This window comes from Homo sapiens, chromosome 9, assembly GCF_000001405.40.
Source record: "Homo sapiens chromosome 9, GRCh38.p14 Primary Assembly".
In the NCBI taxonomy this organism is placed as follows: Eukaryota; Metazoa; Chordata; class Mammalia; order Primates; family Hominidae; genus Homo; species Homo sapiens.
In genome coordinates this window covers 128,254,009-128,269,873 of record NC_000009.12, presented here as the reverse complement: position 1 = coordinate 128,269,873, position 15,865 = coordinate 128,254,009, and the positions used below count along the sequence as shown (strand labels likewise).

At 54.4% G+C, this 15,865-nt stretch overlaps 2 protein-coding genes across 20 annotated transcripts in view, besides 2 other annotated features; one reads left to right on the top strand and one right to left on the bottom strand.

Annotated features, from left to right (window-relative positions):
- Positions 1-14,045, top strand: part of GOLGA2 (golgin A2) — a 20,179-nt gene extending 6,134 nt beyond the window's left edge. For 2 of the 14 annotated variants that reach the window (NM_004486.6, NM_001366244.2), the window contains 24 exons: positions 1,350-1,454; positions 1,714-1,757; positions 1,877-1,940; positions 2,357-2,416; positions 2,600-2,680; positions 3,549-3,587; positions 3,854-3,904; positions 3,993-4,086; positions 4,183-4,289; positions 6,782-6,840; positions 7,170-7,311; positions 8,117-8,206; positions 8,313-8,420; positions 8,615-8,702; positions 9,072-9,409; positions 9,685-9,798; positions 10,483-10,707; positions 10,792-10,867; positions 11,304-11,419; positions 11,676-11,894; positions 11,982-12,084; positions 12,167-12,273; positions 12,349-12,505; positions 12,593-14,045. In NM_004486.6, coding sequence (NP_004477.5) covers positions 1,350-1,454; positions 1,714-1,757; positions 1,877-1,940; positions 2,357-2,416; positions 2,600-2,680; positions 3,549-3,587; positions 3,854-3,904; positions 3,993-4,086; positions 4,183-4,289; positions 6,782-6,840; positions 7,170-7,311; positions 8,117-8,206; positions 8,313-8,420; positions 8,615-8,702; positions 9,072-9,409; positions 9,685-9,798; positions 10,483-10,707; positions 10,792-10,867; positions 11,304-11,419; positions 11,676-11,894; positions 11,982-12,084; positions 12,167-12,273; positions 12,349-12,505; positions 12,593-12,807 — 2,802 coding nt within the window. In that variant the 3' untranslated portion in view covers positions 12,808-14,045. The remainder of the gene's footprint in view (positions 1-1,349; positions 1,455-1,713; positions 1,758-1,876; positions 1,941-2,356; positions 2,417-2,599; positions 2,681-3,548; positions 3,588-3,853; positions 3,905-3,992; positions 4,087-4,182; positions 4,290-6,781; positions 6,841-7,169; positions 7,312-8,116; positions 8,207-8,312; positions 8,421-8,614; positions 8,703-9,071; positions 9,410-9,684; positions 9,799-10,482; positions 10,708-10,791; positions 10,868-11,303; positions 11,420-11,675; positions 11,895-11,981; positions 12,085-12,166; positions 12,274-12,348; positions 12,506-12,592) is intronic. The other 12 variants (NM_001389701.2, NM_001366246.2, NM_001389703.2 and 9 more) reach the window with 10 other exon arrangements.
- Positions 13,816-14,318: an enhancer, noted in NCBI's record as "H3K4me1 hESC enhancer chr9:131017835-131018337 (GRCh37/hg19 assembly coordinates)". NCBI's record gives its function as "activates a minimal SCP1, AML or CMV promoter by ChIP-STARR-seq in naive H9 embryonic stem cells {active_cell/tissue: H9 hESC(naive)}" and the evidence as "EXISTENCE:reporter gene assay evidence [ECO:0000049][PMID:30033119]".
- Positions 14,319-14,823: an enhancer, noted in NCBI's record as "H3K4me1 hESC enhancer chr9:131017330-131017834 (GRCh37/hg19 assembly coordinates)". NCBI's record gives its function as "activates a minimal SCP1, AML or CMV promoter by ChIP-STARR-seq in primed H9 embryonic stem cells {active_cell/tissue: H9 hESC(primed)}" and the evidence as "EXISTENCE:reporter gene assay evidence [ECO:0000049][PMID:30033119]".
- Positions 14,630-15,865, bottom strand: part of DNM1 (dynamin 1) — a 51,866-nt gene continuing 50,630 nt past the window's right edge. For 4 of the 6 annotated variants that reach the window (NM_001005336.3, NM_004408.4, NM_001288737.2 and 1 more), the window contains one exon: positions 14,630-15,220. Coding sequence is in view for 3 of the 6 variants with exons in the window: in NM_004408.4 (NP_004399.2) it covers positions 15,160-15,220 (61 nt within the window). In the remaining 3 variants the exon portion in view is untranslated. The other 2 variants (NM_001374269.1, NM_001288738.2) reach the window with 1 other exon arrangement.

The following is a 15,865-nucleotide window of genomic DNA, read 5'->3' as shown; positions in this document are numbered from 1 at the left end:
CAGCCTCTGCAGCACTTGCTCTAAGGAGGGAAGCAGATTTGGGTTTTCAGAAGCCAGGGCTGAAGGGTCCAGTGAGCGCGCAGTCCTTTCCCTGGAGAGAGGTGTAGTCACTTCTCCCAGACCCAGCTTCCGTGGCCAGGCCCTGGCTCCCTGGTGTTTTTCTCTTGTCCAGCTTAGCTGGTCAGCCAGCTTTTTCCACTGTCTGCCCATCTGGCTTGTCAGATATTAGAAGATCTCTAGAACCAGAGGCTTGGGCGAAGAGTAAGGTCAGAGCCTGGAGAGAGGCTGGGTGGGGCTCTGATCAAGCAGGTAGGTCCAGTTGGGGGCAAGGGAGAGGCTCCACATGACCCCAAGTTCTGAATCCTAGGATTGTCCTCAGGTACTATTCCCAGGAAAGAGGCCCTACAACTTCCAAGTTGCCAAGAGCCACAGGGAAGATGTCTTACCTCTGTTTTCTTGGGTGGTTTCTTGGCTGGGTAGATGTTTTTGGAGGTAAGAGGTCGGGGTGGGGGTGTTGGCCATGGTTTATCCTCTTTTTACCTCCAGAGAGTTGGAGAGAGTCTTCTAGTTGGGCAGCTTTTTTTTTTTCCCCCTGAAAAGGCCTGAATCAGAAACACAGCCAGTAGGCCAAGTGCAATGGCTCACACCTGTAATCTCAACATTTTGGGAGACCAAGGTGGATCACTTGAGCCCAGGACTTTGAGACCAGCCTGGGCAAGATGGCAAGACCATGTTTCTATAGAAATTAGCTGAGCATGGTAGTGTGCACCTATAATCTCAGCTACTAGGGAGGCTGAGGTGGGAGCATTGCTTGAGCCCAGGAGGTGGAAGCTGCAGTGAACTATGATTGTGCCACTGCAGGGGAGAAGGGAAGGGAGGAAAGGAGGAGACAGGCAGATAGCTACATTGTGCATTGCCCAGACAACTACTTCCTCATCACCATCCTCTGCCCAGTAGGGGCCCAGTGAGGGTCACTCTGCAGCACAGACTGGCCTTCTGGAAGAACAGTGCCTTTCTCCTCCCTGACTTTGGCACACCTTCCTCCTGCCTGCTGTGGCTGCCACAGGTCAGAGCCTGCTGCTGTCTTTTGCTGAGCTCCAGGGAGAGCGAGGTCCTCGTGTTCATGAAGGAGGCCGTGCAGCCCCTGCTTTGAGCTTTGGCCATCTGAAATGCTGCCTAGCAGCCCAAGGCCTGGGCAACCAATCCACACCCCTGAGTGGCTCCTAGCATGTGTGACTGTCACTCTGACTGCAGCAACACCTGTCCTACCTGTTCCACACCCTTGTGTTCATAGTACTGAGGCACCTCTCCCGCATGGCCCCCTAACCCCCTGCTCTGTTCTGTGACAGACACCCAAGGACAATGCTGCTACTCTACAACCATCTGATGACACCGTGTTACCTGGCGGTGTCCCTTCCCCTGGTGCCAGTCTCACTAGCATGGCGGCATCTCAGGTTCGTGCCTCCTCCCCCTCTGCCCACTGCCCTCCTGTACCTATTATGCATTATCTTCTCCTTTCACAGGCAGCTTGTTCCCTAGGGTCAAGGGCCCTTCCTGGGGACCGGGCCGGGGGAAGGCTCAGACTGGGCTTTTTTCCTTGAGGCCTGGGGAGATTGAAGATTGTTAGAATGAGTTTGGGAGCTTGACTCACCCCATCCTGGGTGATTCTTACCAGAAATTGAATGACCATCTCACACGTTTCTTCCCAAACAGAATCATGATGCTGACAATGTCCCTAATCTCATGGATGAAACCAAGTGAGTGTCTCCTGTTGGGGCAGCAGTCTCTAGGCTGAGAGAGTCAGGGAGGCCACTGCCCATGACCTTCTTTCCCATTGAGCCACCTGCACCCCTGACCCCTGTGTCTCCATCCCTAGGACTTTCTCATCAACCGAGAGCCTGCGACAACTCTCCCAACAGCTCAATGGTCTTGTTTGTGAGGTACCTCAGGAACTGAGGCCGAGAGCGGGGTGGGGGGAAGGGAACTATGATAGAAACTGAAGCAGGGATTCACAAGAGAGAGGGAAGATCCTGGGACCAGCCAATGTGCTGGGCAATGTTAAGGAAGTCGCCTTTTCCCTGAGCCTTCTCCCTTGAAGTTGTGCACATGAAGGAGTTGGACCCCATGACTGGTTGCATCATTGTATCCTGCTGCAGAAGCACTGGATGAGAGCTGCTCGGGAGGAAAGGATGGTGGGGAAATAAGAACCATGAGAGAAGTTGGCACAAAGGGGTTACGGGACAGAGGGTCCAAGTTAGAAAAGAAAATGTTGCCAATTGCTGGGGAAGAAACGAAGTTAGAGGGCTTAGACACTGAGGGGACAGAACATCTCCATGTGCACTCTCGTCTCTTATAGTCTGCGACATGTGTCAATGGGGAGGGCCCTGCATCGTCTGCTAACCTGAAGGATCTGGAGGTAAGAGGCCCTGGGCCGTGGCCCAGTGACCCTGCAGGCCAGCCCTCCAACCTCCTCCCACAGCGGGGGCTGGGTGCCCCTCTGCCAGCTGAGACAGCCCACACACCCCCCAACCCTAATGATTGCTCTCTCTACCTCTCCCCCCAATCCTCCTCCAACTCCTCCTCTCTGCATGCGCCTCAGAGCCGGTACCAACAGCTAGCGGTAGCCCTGGACTCCAGCTATGTAACAAACAAACAACTCAATATCACGATAGAGAAATTGGTAAGAGTCCAGTGGGGTCCCCTGATTCCATGCTGCTAATCCTGGGCTCCAGTTTCCCCTTGGGACCCTGAAGAAAGGGGCAGGGGGCCCCTGGTGCCAAGGGCGAATGGGGAGCTGGGGGGCCCAGGCCTCAGCTGGAGGGACCCCAGAGCACGGAGCATGCAGCATGGCTCTTCTGTTGCTGCCCTCTTTGCCTACTCTCTCTTCTCTAGACACCCCTGCTCGAGTCCTTGCCACACACGCCCTGGGGTTGTTGCCTCTTGGGGAAGCGCTAGCCTGACTGGTTGTCAGGAGCCCTGTATTTCTGCCCTGACTCAGTCCTTAATTTGCTCTTTGATTTGGGACAAGCCACCTCTCCTCCTTGGGCTTGCATTTCCTGAGGAGGTAGAGTTAGAGAGTATCAAAGGTCTCTTAGCTCTGAGAGTCCAAGATTTAAAGGCCCATTAGAATGTAAACCTCAGGGCCAAGGGCTCCTGTCTGTCTTTTTCTGTCTGGTATCCCTGCTATTAAGAACCGTACCTGGCCTGTGTGTGCTCAGCAAATGTTTGTTGAATGATTACACCTTTCTAAATCACAAACTGGCAGAGGGTGGGCTTTTCTCACACTCCATCTCTAGAGGTTTATGTTACTGTCCTTTCAAGAGAATCGAGATTCAGACTTTCAGTTCTGTGGCTGTGGGCAAAAACCAACAAAGACACAAATCCCCTTTCCTTGAGAGCCTGAGGAGAGTTTACCAGTTCGTGTTCCCATTGGGTCTGAGAACTTTGCCTTTAAAATCCATTCCTGGCCCCTGCCTACCCGTTCCTGGTCTGGGGAATAGAGTTGAGGGGGCCACCCTCAGTCACCTTCCTTTGACTCTTCCCCACAGAAACAACAGAACCAAGAAATTACGGATCAGTTGGAAGAAGTAACGTGATTTCTTTGTTTGCTCACAACATGACTGCTGGGTTTGGGGGGCATTCAAATGTAGAGGCCTCAGTCTCGTCTCACCCACTCCCAGCCTGGGGAAGAAGGCTCACCCCCCCAGATTCCACCCCATCCCCACAGGGTCCCTGATAACCTGGTCCCATGGGTGGGCCTGTCCTGGGACATTGGTGGCATTCTGGGGGCATGTCCCTTGCTGTGCCGTCTCTGCCTCCCCCTCGTAAGAGCTCTGTCTTCCTCTTCCTATAGGAAAAGAAAGAATGCCACCAAAAGCAGGGAGCCCTAAGGGAGCAGTTACAGGTGAGTGGAGGGTGTGAAGTTCCGTCCTGTCCTCTGGAGAATGTTTCTTTCCTTCTTTTTCAGCACTTGCTTGGGTTTCCTCCCAAAGGTTCACATTCAGACCATAGGGATCCTCGTATCAGAGAAAGCTGAGTTACAGACAGCCCTGGCTCACACTCAGCATGCTGCCAGGCAGAAAGAAGGTGGGAATCTGGGCACCCCATCATCCTTCAACCTGGCACTTTGACAGGCCTTTAGGGGGAGTCCTTTGGGCCCCATCTCAACCTCTCTCATTCCAGGAGAGTCTGAAGATCTGGCCAGCCGCCTGCAGTATTCCCGGCGGCGTGTGGGAGAGTTGGAGCGGGCTCTCTCTGCTGTCTCCACGCAGCAGAAGAAGGCAGACAGGGTGAGTCCAACTGCCTGCCCCGTCCCCTGGCATACTGGCTTCCCAGATGGAGGAGTGAGCCTAAAGGTCCCTTCTGCAGGGTTGACTGTCCTGCCTAGAAGGCAGCATGGGCCATTTATCACTGCTTTTGTGTGTGGTTGCTAGAGGCATCCTGGGGCTGAGTCAGCTGCTGTGGGTGAGTTTGGGGGCACTGTGGGGAGTGAACACTGGACGCAGAGCTCGGAGGCCAAGTGCCCGCTGTGCCGTTACCTGGCTGTGGCCTTGGTCAAGTCCTAGGTGGGGGAATATGGTACTTGTACTGTGAAGGTACAGAAGAGTATCTTTAGTATGTTACCATTTGTGTAGAGAGAGGGAACGTGTGTGTGTATGTGTACCTATGTACTATGACAATATACATAAAACGTGTCTGCATGGATTCATAACAAACTCAGGAGAGAGGAACAGCACGGCTGGAAGATATTTCCCTTCTGCCCTTTCGGAGTTTTGGACTATCTGAATATATCATCCTTTCAAAAACTGAACAAAAGATAATTTCCCCCTTCCTATTTGTGCCCCCACCCTCGGGGAACAAATGAGCTTAGAGAGTCAGATATACCTGGGTGTTCAAATCCGAGCTCTGTCTAAGTGATCTTAGGCAAGCACTTAACCTCTAATATTCCGTGTTGTCCATCTACAAAATAGAGGTAATAATAGTAACTGTCTCATGTGGTGGTTATGAGGATTAAATGGGATTGTTAGCATGGTGCCTGGTGAAGCATTCAATAAAGGTTCAAACAGTGGTAGTAATAATGATAATAACAATAGCAATATTATCTGATCTCTCTGGGCCTCTGTTAGCCAGCTGTAAATTCGATCTTGGCCAGGTGTGGTGGCTCATGCCTGTAATCCCAGCACTTTGGGAGGCCGAGGCAGGTGGGTCAACTGAGGTCAGGAGTTCGAGACCAGCCTGACCAACATAGCAAAACCCTGTGTCTACTAAAAATGCAAAAAATTAGCCAGGTGTGGTGGCGTGCCCCTGTAATTGCAGCTACTTGGGAGGCTGAGGCAGGAGAATTGCTTGAACCCGGGGGCGGAAGTTGCGGTGAGCTGAGATCGTGCCACTGCCCTCCAGCCTGGGTGACAGAGGGAGACTCTGTCTGAAAATAAATAAATAAATAAATAAATAAATAAATAATAACAAAAATTAGCCAGGCATGATGGCGCATGCCTGTAATCCTAGGTACTCAGGAGCCTGAGGCAGGAGAATCACATGAACCCGGGAGGCAGAGGTTGCAGTGAGCCAAGATGGCGCCACTGCACTCCAGCCTGGGTGACAGATGGAGACTCCATCTCAAATAAATACATATATACATACATACGTACATACATAAATTCGCTCTCTCTCCCTGTTCCTTCCACCCTTACCAAGTCCTTTTTTTTTGAGACGGAGTCTCACTCTGTTGCCCAGGCTGGAGTGCAGTGGCACCATCTCGGCTCACTGCAAGCTCTGTCTCCCGGGTTCATGCCATTCTCCTGCCTCAGCCTCCCGAGTAGCTGGGACTACAGGCACCTGCCACCACGCCTGGCTAATTTTTTGTATTTTTTTTTTTTTTAGTAGAGATGGGGTTTCACCGTGTTAGCCAGGATGGTCTCGATCCCCTGATCTCGTAATCCGTCCCCCTCGGCCTCCCAAAGTGCCAGGATTACAGGCGTGAGCCACCGCACCCGGCCACCCTTACCAAGTTTTTTTAAAAACAAATGAGACCAGCCGGGTGCCGTAATCCCAACACTTTGGGAAGTTGAGGCGGGCGGATCACTTGAGGTCAGGAGTCAAGACCAGCCTGGCCAACATGTTGAAACCCCCTCTCTATTAAAAATAAAAAAATTAGGCCAGGCATGGTGGCTCACGCCTGTAATCCCAGCACTTTGGGAGGCTGAGACGGGCGGATCACAAGGTCAGGAGATCGAGACCATCCTTGCTAACACAGTGAAACCTCGTCTCTACTAAAAATACAAAAAAATTAGCCGGGTGTGGTGGCGGGGGCCTGTAGTCCCAGCTACTTAGGAGGCTGAAGCAGGAGAATGGCATGAACCCGGGAGGCGGAGCTTGCAGTGAGCCGAAATTGCGCCACTGCACTCCAGCCTGGGCAACAGAGACTCCATCTCAGAAAAAACAAAACAAAACAAATTAGCCGGACATGGTGGTGCACGCCTATAGTCCCAGCTACTCAGGAGGCTGAGGCAGGAGAGTCACTTGGACCAGGGAGGCAGAGGTTGTGAGCTGAGATCTCACCACTGCACTTCAGCCTGGGTGACAGAGGGAGACTCTGTCTCAAAAACAACAACAGCAACAACAAAATGAGACCATGGGCTTGGAAATGCCTTGAAAACATGTCAAGTGTGATTGAGAGTGAGGAAGTGTTACTGTGGAGTACTTACTGTAGCTGTTGTTACTGGTTGGCCAGCTGCTCCTCTGCCTGCTATATCCTGACTTAACCTTTCTGTATTTACAGTACAACAAGGAGTTAACCAAAGAGAGAGACGCCCTCAGGCTGGAGTTATACAAGAACACGTAGGATGGGGGATGGTGGGATGGGAGGTCTGGGGGCCCTCAGCATGGGTGGTGTGCTGGGAGGTGGGGGGTACAGGTAAGCATGATGAGGTAGTCATAGAGGTGTGCATGTGTGCCCAGCAAAGCTCTAGTGCCAGCTGTGCCACTGACTCATGGTGTAGCCTTGGGTAACTCGTATCTTTTCTCTGGCCTGTACATGTGACTTTTGATTCCTGGGGTTCCTTCCAGTGCCACAGTTCTGTGGTTGTGGGGCAAGGGTAGAGGGTGGATCACCAAAGCAGTCCTTTCTGTTCTTCGTTCATTCCTTTCTCTACTGCCTCTGGCCATAGCCAAAGCAATGAGGACCTGAAGCAAGAGAAATCAGAATTGGAAGAGAAGCTTCGGGTCCTAGTGACTGAGAAGGCTGGCATGCAGCTTAACTTGGAAGAATTGCAAAAGAAGTTAGAGATGACGGAACTCCTGCTTCAACAGGCAAGAGGCTGCAGCCCCATGGGTGGTGGGAGCGCCATCCAGCTGGGGCCATGGTCTAGGGATCATGCAGGGCATGGGGAGACTCCAGCCAAGAGCTGGAAAATTTGGGTCCTTGTTCCGGTCCTGGCATAAAATCCTCTAGAGAGTGCTAAAAATCTACAAATTGGGGACCTGGGGAATCAGAATCTTAGGGTTAGGGCTTAAGACAATTTTTGTTTTGTTTTGTTTTGTTTTGTTTTAAAGCATCATGGGTGAAAACCATTATTTTAGAGATTACATTTATATGGCTAGCTCATGAGTCTGTTTATTTCCTTCTGAGGTTCAAGCCAACACTTTCACTAATAATAGAGAGTAGAGATCTTTTTTTTTTTTTTTTTAGACGGGGTCTCGCTCTATCACCCAGGCTGGAGTGATACTTACTGCAACCTCTACTTCCCAGGCTCAAGCCATCCTCCTGCCTCAGCTTCTCAAGTAGTTGGGACTACAGGCGCACACTACCATGCCTGGCTAATTTTTGTATTTGTAGATACGGGGCTTTGCCATGTTGCCGAGGTTGGTCTTGAACTCCTGAGCTCAAGCAATCCACCCACCTCAGCCTCCCAAAGTGTTGAGATTACAGGCATCAGCCACCATGCCTGGCCTGAGATCTTTTTAAAATTATTTTTTATTTCTAAAGCAAAGAAACTTGACAGCAGAGTTGTATTGACTGAGTTGCACATTGAGCCTAGCCCTAGCCCTTTTAAGGGGCACTATTTGGAACGGCCTGGGCTCCCCAGATCTAAACTTCTCGCTCTTCACCATCCAGTTTTCAAGCCGGTGTGAAGCCCCTGATGCTAACCAGCAGTTACAGCAGGCCATGGAGGAGCGGGCACAGCTGGAAGCACACCTGGGGCAGGTGAGGCTTTGCAGGGGAGGGATGTAGAAGGAAGATGACCCCAGGTGGCCAGGAGTAGGTGACAACCAGTGACAGTCCTTCCTCATTTCTGTGGCCATTCTTGCAGGTAATGGAGTCGGTTAGACAACTACAAATGGAGAGAGATAAATATGCGGAGAATCTCAAAGGAGAGAGCGCCATGTGGCGGCAGAGGATGCAGCAGATGTCAGAGCAGGTGAGACCTGACCCTTCAGCTCCCCCTCAACCTTAGATAGGTCACTTGATCTTTCTGGGCATCTGCGAAATGGGAGGAGCACAGCCAGAGGTGGTCATGGGTCTGGGCTTTGTGGCGGTGGGGGCAGAGGGAGATGGTAGCCTGTCCAGCCACCAGCCCCTCTCCAGGGCCCTTTCTTGCTGTGCTTTGGGCAGGTGCACACATTGAGAGAGGAGAAGGAATGTAGCATGAGTCGGGTACAGGAGCTGGAGACGAGCTTGGCTGAACTGAGGAACCAGATGGGTAAGCTGGGGCTGGGGTGACCTGGGAGCAGGAATGGTGTCAGAGGGTTGTGGGGGTGGTTTAGAATGCCCCAGGGAGTTGGGTGGATGGAATGGCTTTGAGGCAGAGGGAAAGAGGTCTGTGCCAGGAGATGGCAAGTCTCGTCATCTCCATGAGCCTCAGTGCCCCATCAGCAAAGACGAAGGAGTGCCCGTTGTCAGCCACCCACAGTTGTCGCTATCGGAAAGTGGTTTGGAAGATTGGCTAACATCCGGGTGCGAGGAATCATCAGCAGGGAGGCCAAGTTTGGGGAGCTTGAGAGGAGGTATGGACCAAGAGGAGGGTTTTTTTGAGAATCCAGAGGCTTTTATTGTCTGCGTCCTTTCTCAGCTGAACCCCCGCCCCCAGAGCCCCCAGCAGGGCCCTCCGAGGTGGAGCAGCAGCTACAAGCGGAGGCTGAGCACCTGCGGAAGGAGCTGGAGGGTCTGGCAGGACAGCTTCAAGCCCAGGTGCAAGACAATGAGGGCTTGAGTCGCCTGAACCGGGAGCAGGAGGAGAGGCTGCTGGAGCTGGAGCGGGCGGCCGAGCTCTGGGGGGAGCAGGCGGAGGCGCGCAGGCAAATCCTGGAGACCATGCAGAACGACCGCACTACCATCAGCCGCGCACTCTCCCAGAACCGGGAGCTCAAGGAGCAGCTGGCTGAGCTGCAGAGCGGATTTGTAAAGCTGGTGCGCTGCCCCACCTGGAGAGCCCGCCCTCCTCCCTAGCCCTCCAGACCTTTGTTTTCCCACCTGTAAAGTGGGGCAGTGTAGCCCTCACTTGAAATGGTACTTCTGGAGGCATCTGTGAGCCAGAGCCCTGCTCCGATGGCTGTGGGGGAGAGGGGATGATTTTTCTAACCTGCCTCCACCCTTCCCGGTGCCATGGGAGGCAGACACCAAGGCAGCAAGTTCTGGGGTCTCCAGCTGCAGTGGGTGGCCGCTGATTGCTTCTCTCTGTCCAGACTAATGAGAACATGGAGATCACCAGCGCACTGCAGTCGGAGCAGCACGTCAAGAGGGAGCTGGGAAAGAAGCTGGGCGAGCTGCAGGAGAAGCTGAGCGAGCTGAAGGAAACGGTAACCCCGCCCCATCCAAGAAGGGCTGGGAGGCGGGCACCAGCCTCTGGGGAGGGGTGGTGTGAGGCCAGAGGCAGCTCCAGCCTGGGGCACAGGTGACCCCAGCACCCTCCAGGGCAGTCCTGTGACTGTTTCTTGCTCCCTGCCCTCTGACTTTTAGAGGTGGATAGCTTTGGGCTCCTCTCAGGTCTGGACATCATCGTCCCAGCTAGAGGCATGGATTTCTCCCAATCACAGGGGAAGAGACAGCGGCATAAGAGGCTCCTTAGATTCAAACTGGATTCTGGCCTTTGCTCCACTGGTCATCATTCAACTACTTTGCATCTCTAAGCCCCAGTTTCTTTAACTTAAAAAGGAAGTTAGCATCTTCCTTGCAGAGGTGCTGAGGATTCAATGAGATAATACGTGGAAAGCATTAGGCATGTAGCACACTTAGCAGATGGTGGTTGGCTCCCTCTGCGTTTCCACCAGTCTGTGGCCTACGGTTTAAATGGTGGGAAGAAGGATGTGAAATTTGAGGCTGGGGAAGGAGGCACGAGGCTCTAGACAAGGGAGGCAGTCACTTAGGCCTGGAGCAAGGGGCCAGAGGTCTGGGCAGGTGACAGAGCCCTCGCTACCCTATTTATGGGCCCTGAATCTGGAAGCAGGCCACCACCTGCCCTCACGCCCAGGGTCTTCCTACAGGTGGAGCTGAAGAGCCAAGAGGCTCAAAGTCTGCAGCAGCAGCGAGACCAGTACCTGGGACACCTGCAGCAGTATGTGGCCGCCTATCAGCAGCTGACCTCTGAGAAGGAGGTGCTGCATAATCAGCTACTGCTGCAGACCCAGCTCGTGGACCAGCTGCAGCAGCAGGAAGCTCAGGGCAAAGCGGTGGCCGAGATGGCCCGCCAAGAGTTGCAGGAAACCCAGGTGAGGGAGTTGGTGAGGGCAGGGCCCCGAGGGGGACAACCTGGCAACCTCCATGCCTTCTCACTCTCTTTTCTGGCCCCTTAGGAGCGCCTGGAAGCTGCCACCCAGCAGAATCAGCAGCTACGGGCCCAGTTGAGCCTCATGGCTCACCCTGGGGAAGGTACGGGAACCTGCTCACAGGAAGAGGAGAGAGCCCCAGGAAGAAGGGGGGACTGTTAGCAGCGTAGAATTGAGGAGTTGGAAGAGACCTTTAGAACAGCTGGTCATTATGCCAACTGGGTGTCCACACTAAGTTCGGCATCAATATGGTGACTTCCTGGGAGCAGGGCACTACCAGCTTACCTAAGGATGGGTGAACTGGCCCAGGTCAGAAATGAAGCAGGTCAGAACTCCCATGCTGATCGGTAGTGGGACTGCACCTGGGCAGCATAGCGAGCCCTTGGCTCTTAAAAAAGAATAAAATAAAAATAAAGAACAGATGCTTATTTCCCTCTGGGGAGGGGCTGGCCCAGGGTTACACAGTGAGGGTGGGGGCAGAGGTGGGCCCACTGTACCCTTGTTGGGTTGTCTGATGACCCCTCTGGCCACCCCCATAGGAGATGGACTGGACCGGGAGGAGGAGGAGGATGAGGAGGAGGAGGAGGAGGAGGCGGTGGCAGTACCTCAGCCCATGCCAAGCATCCCGGAGGACCTGGAGAGCCGGGAAGCCATGGTGAGGCTGACTCCCCCTCCCCAACCTTTGCTGCCTCCCTCTGTGGTCCCTCCCAGACCCCCTTCTGCTCTTGGTTTCCCGGCCTTCTGATTTCTTCGGACCCTCACCCCTTTCCTGGGAGCCAGTGGTGAGACACCATTTCACTTGGGACCAACAAGTGCACCCTCTGAGGCCCCAAGGGAAGGGCTGCTCTCTACCTCCCTGCCCTGTTCATCCTATATATCCTCCTACAAGAATGCACCCCTCTTGCCTGCAGGTGGCATTTTTCAACTCAGCTGTAGCCAGTGCCGAGGAGGAGCAGGCAAGGCTACGTGGGCAGCTGAAGGAGCAAAGGGTGCGCTGCCGGCGCCTGGCTCACCTGCTGGCCTCGGCCCAGAAGGAGCCTGAGGCAGCAGCCCCAGCCCCAGGGACCGGGGGTGATTCTGTGTGTGGGGAGACCCACCGGGCCCTGCAGGGGGCCATGGAGAAGCTGCAGGTGAATGAGTCTCTCCTGGCATGGGTCAAGAAGGGTGGGGGCGGGGCAGGTCGCTGCCGATATATGACTCCATTATTTTGGTTCCAGAGCCGCTTTATGGAGCTCATGCAGGAGAAGGCAGACCTGAAGGAGAGGGTAGAGGAACTGGAACATCGCTGCATCCAGCTTTCTGGAGAGACAGACACCATTGGTGAGTGGGAGGCCAGGGCACGGCAGGAGGAGCTGCACAGCGGTCGGAGGGAACCCAGCATCTGAGCCCTGTCCTCCCGCAGGAGAGTACATTGCACTGTACCAGAGCCAGAGGGCAGTGCTGAAGGAGCGGCACCGGGAGAAGGAGGAGTACATCAGCAGGCTGGCCCAAGACAAGGAGGAGATGAAGGTAGGGTGTGGAACATCTCTGGGGGTGGAGGTGGGCACGGGCATGGGCATGGCAGCTTAGCACCCCTCCCTCCAGGTGAAGCTGCTGGAGCTGCAGGAGCTGGTCTTACGGCTTGTGGGCGACCGCAACGAGTGGCATGGCAGATTCCTGGCAGCTGCCCAGAACCCTGCTGATGAGCCCACTTCAGGGGCCCCAGCCCCCCAGGAACTTGGGGCTGCCAACCAGCAGGGTGGTGAGTAGAGCCCTCGGGAGGGGTGGGCAGGCAGGAGTAAGGGAGGGCTCGCGTGGCACTCAGAGCCCTGCCTCTCTCTCTCCAAAGATCTTTGCGAGGTGAGCCTCGCCGGCAGTGTGGAGCCTGCCCAAGGAGAGGCCAGGGAGGGTTCTCCCCGTGACAACCCCACTGCACAGCAGATCATGCAGCTGCTTCGTGAGATGCAGAACCCCCGGGAGCGCCCAGGCTTGGGCAGCAACCCCTGCATTCCTTTTTTTTACCGGGCTGACGAGAATGATGAGGTGAAGATCACTGTCATCTAAAAGCCGGCTACTGTCAGCAAAGCCTGAAGAAGTGGGGCTGGATACCCTGCCCCCACCATATCCCTACCATCCCTTCTCAGTCAACCCTTTACCCTTACAGTAGCAAGCATAGACCCCTGTCTAACGGGGGTAGACAGGTGCAGATGAGGTGAAGATCACTGTCATCTAAAAGCTGGCCACTAAATTAAAAAAAAATTAAAAGTTATGGGATTAAAAAAAGTTATGGGATAAAAAAGGTTATGGGTAACTTATGGTATAAAAGTTATGAAAAAAGGCCAGGTGCAGTGGCTCACGCCTGTAATCCCAGCACTTTTGGGAGGCTGAGGTTGGGAGTTCAAGACCAGCCTGGTCAACATGGTGAAACTGTGTCTCTACTAAAAATACAAAAATTAGCCAGGCATGGTGGCACGTGCCTGTAATCCCAGCTACTCGGGAGGCTGAGGCAGGAGAATCGCTTGAACCTGGGAGGTGGAGGTTGCAGTGGGCTGAGATCACGCCATTGCACTCCAGCCTGGGCGACAGAGTGAGACTCTGTCTCAAAAAAAAAAAAAATTATGAAAAAAGTTATGGGATTAAAGAAAGTCAGGATAAAAATTTTAAAAAGCAGGCCACTGTCAGCAAAGCCTGGAGAAGTGGGGCCGGAGGCTCCGCCCCCATCATGTGCCTGCCACCCCTTCCCAGTCATCCCTTTACTCTTACAGTAGCAAATAAGACCCCTGTCTAATGGGGGGAGACAAATGTGTAGACCCTTAGCCACCTTGGCCAGGGCTGACTCCTTAAATTTCTGGATGATGATGATTGTTATTTAATAGCCAGAGGCTCATATAATTGGCCTCTTTGGAAGAGGCCTCATGGCCTCCTTACTCTCACCAAAGCAATTTTTCCCTCAGGGGGGCTCCCATCTTCTTACACAGAGAGGCAGCTGAGGCAGGACAGTGGGGCTAACTGTAGACCAGGCGAGGGCACGGGCTGCTGGGGTGGCCCTGCTTCCCCAGTGTACATATTGTATCTGTGTAACATTTTGTATATTCCAGGGGTAGGGCCGCCCCCTGTATCATACCTAGCAGAGGTTGGAGCTGGCACATGGGGAGGAGGTTCTAATAATTATTTGGGGCTGGGAAACTTATTTATTGATAGCATAGGACAGAGGAAGGAGGCGGGGATGGGGTCGTGGCGCCCTGGTGATGCGACTCCTGTTTATTTTGCTTTTTATTTCGGAATAAATGGATTTAGCCATACTGCTCTGCCTGATGTGTTCCTGTTTCTCTCACTGGGTCCTGGAGTTTGTGCCACTGAACAGGGAGCCCCAGAGTGTCTGAGCATGTGCAGCTGGGCTGTTGGGACCTTCCAGGCTTGTTACCTGTATGCTGCCTGGTGACATCTTGGGGATTACACGGGGACTACCATGGTACCTATGGGGACAGTTTGGCCCCGATGGCCAACAGGCTCAGAAGCCTGATCTAGCGGTGGCCAGGAAGACAGGATGCCAGCACCCAAGGGCACTGACTTCCATCCAGCCCAGGTGTCTTCCATTCTGTCCCCCTGCCTCCCTCGCCTGCCTGAGCCTGGTGGCCTGTTCTGTCTGTCCCTCCAGAATGCCAGCCGCCCTGCCGGCGCCCTCCAGGCTGAGTTAATGGCCCTGCCCCCTAGTGGCCAGAGCCCGCTTCACAGGATGAGAGCCCCCTAAGCTCCAGGGGCTTTCCAGGAAAAATGTCCCTTGGAAAAGATGTGGTCTTTTCACCACCCCCAGCAGCACCCTAGTAATGGCTTAGCCCTTCCCCTCCCCTGAGCTCCAGAGAGAACACAACCAGCAGAGGAGACATTCCCCATCATCCAGAAATGGGTTTTATTCTCAGCCGAGGGACAGCAGGACTGGTAGAAACTGTCAGGCCACACGGCTGCCTGCACAGCACCCCCATGCTTGGTAGGGGGTGGGAGGGATGGCGGGGGCTGGCTGTCCACAGGCCGGGCATGACAAGGAGGCTCACTGGAGGTGGCACACTTTGGAGTGGGATGTCGGGGGACAGCGTTCTCTGGTAGTTGGGCCACAAGACTCCACAAGGATAGCACAGTGACTGATTCCCAGCGCTAGAGGCGAGGCGGTTGGCCATGTGTAGGTGTGTATATATATGAGTATTTATAGATATTTATAGAACAGGGCAAGGGCATACCACAGAAGGGGCACAAGTTTTCACCAACGGTCACACCTGAATGTATCAGCTCACCACTACAACAGATTAAGTCACAGATGAAGGGGGCTGGCTTTGGGGCTGGGGGAGCCACTGTCAAGTCACAGAACAGCCGTCCAGGCAGGCTTGGAAAGGGAGGTCTCCGAGAAGAGGAGGGATCTGTTTAGAGGTCGAAGGGGGGCCTGGGGCTCTCAGGACGGGATGGACTTGCCTGACCCGATCGGCTGGCAGTTGGAGAGAAAGCAGAGAGAAAACGGGAGAGAAAAGCGAGGAGAGAGCTGGTAAGGCAAGCGCAGCACACGGCCGGGGCCGGCCGCGCCGCAGCAGTGGTGGGAGGGCCGGGGAGGGGAGGCTGCAGGTGTGGGTGTGGCAAGGTTCCTGGAAAAGGGGCTGGAAGGGAAAGGGGAGGAAGATGGAGGGAGGAGCCGTAGCTTCACAGATAGCGCCTGGGGGCTGTGGCGGCCCTCCCCACCCCACACACGCTGGCCTCTCACACGGCACCCAGGCAGGGCACCCGCAATTCAGGCTGATGCTCGGCCCCCTCGGGCTTCCCTCTTCTCTGGTCACCCTGTCTTCCAACCCACTGGCCTGGGGCCACCCCTTGCCTTGGGGAGCCCCATGCAACAGCCACCAGGCCTGATAGAGAAAGAACACTGCTTGAACCAGGAGGGTGAAACTAAAAGGGATGGCTGGAGGGAGCGCCGGAGGCCCCTCTGGGTGTTCAGAAAACCCAGGACCCTCTGAAGGGACCCTGGGGGAGGCAGGGAGGGCAGGCAGCCGGATGCCAGTGGCCATAGACTTATAAGTCTAAGAGGGGAGCCTCAGCTGGTCGGGGGGCTGCAGGTCTCGTAGGTGAGGCTGGGCCCTTC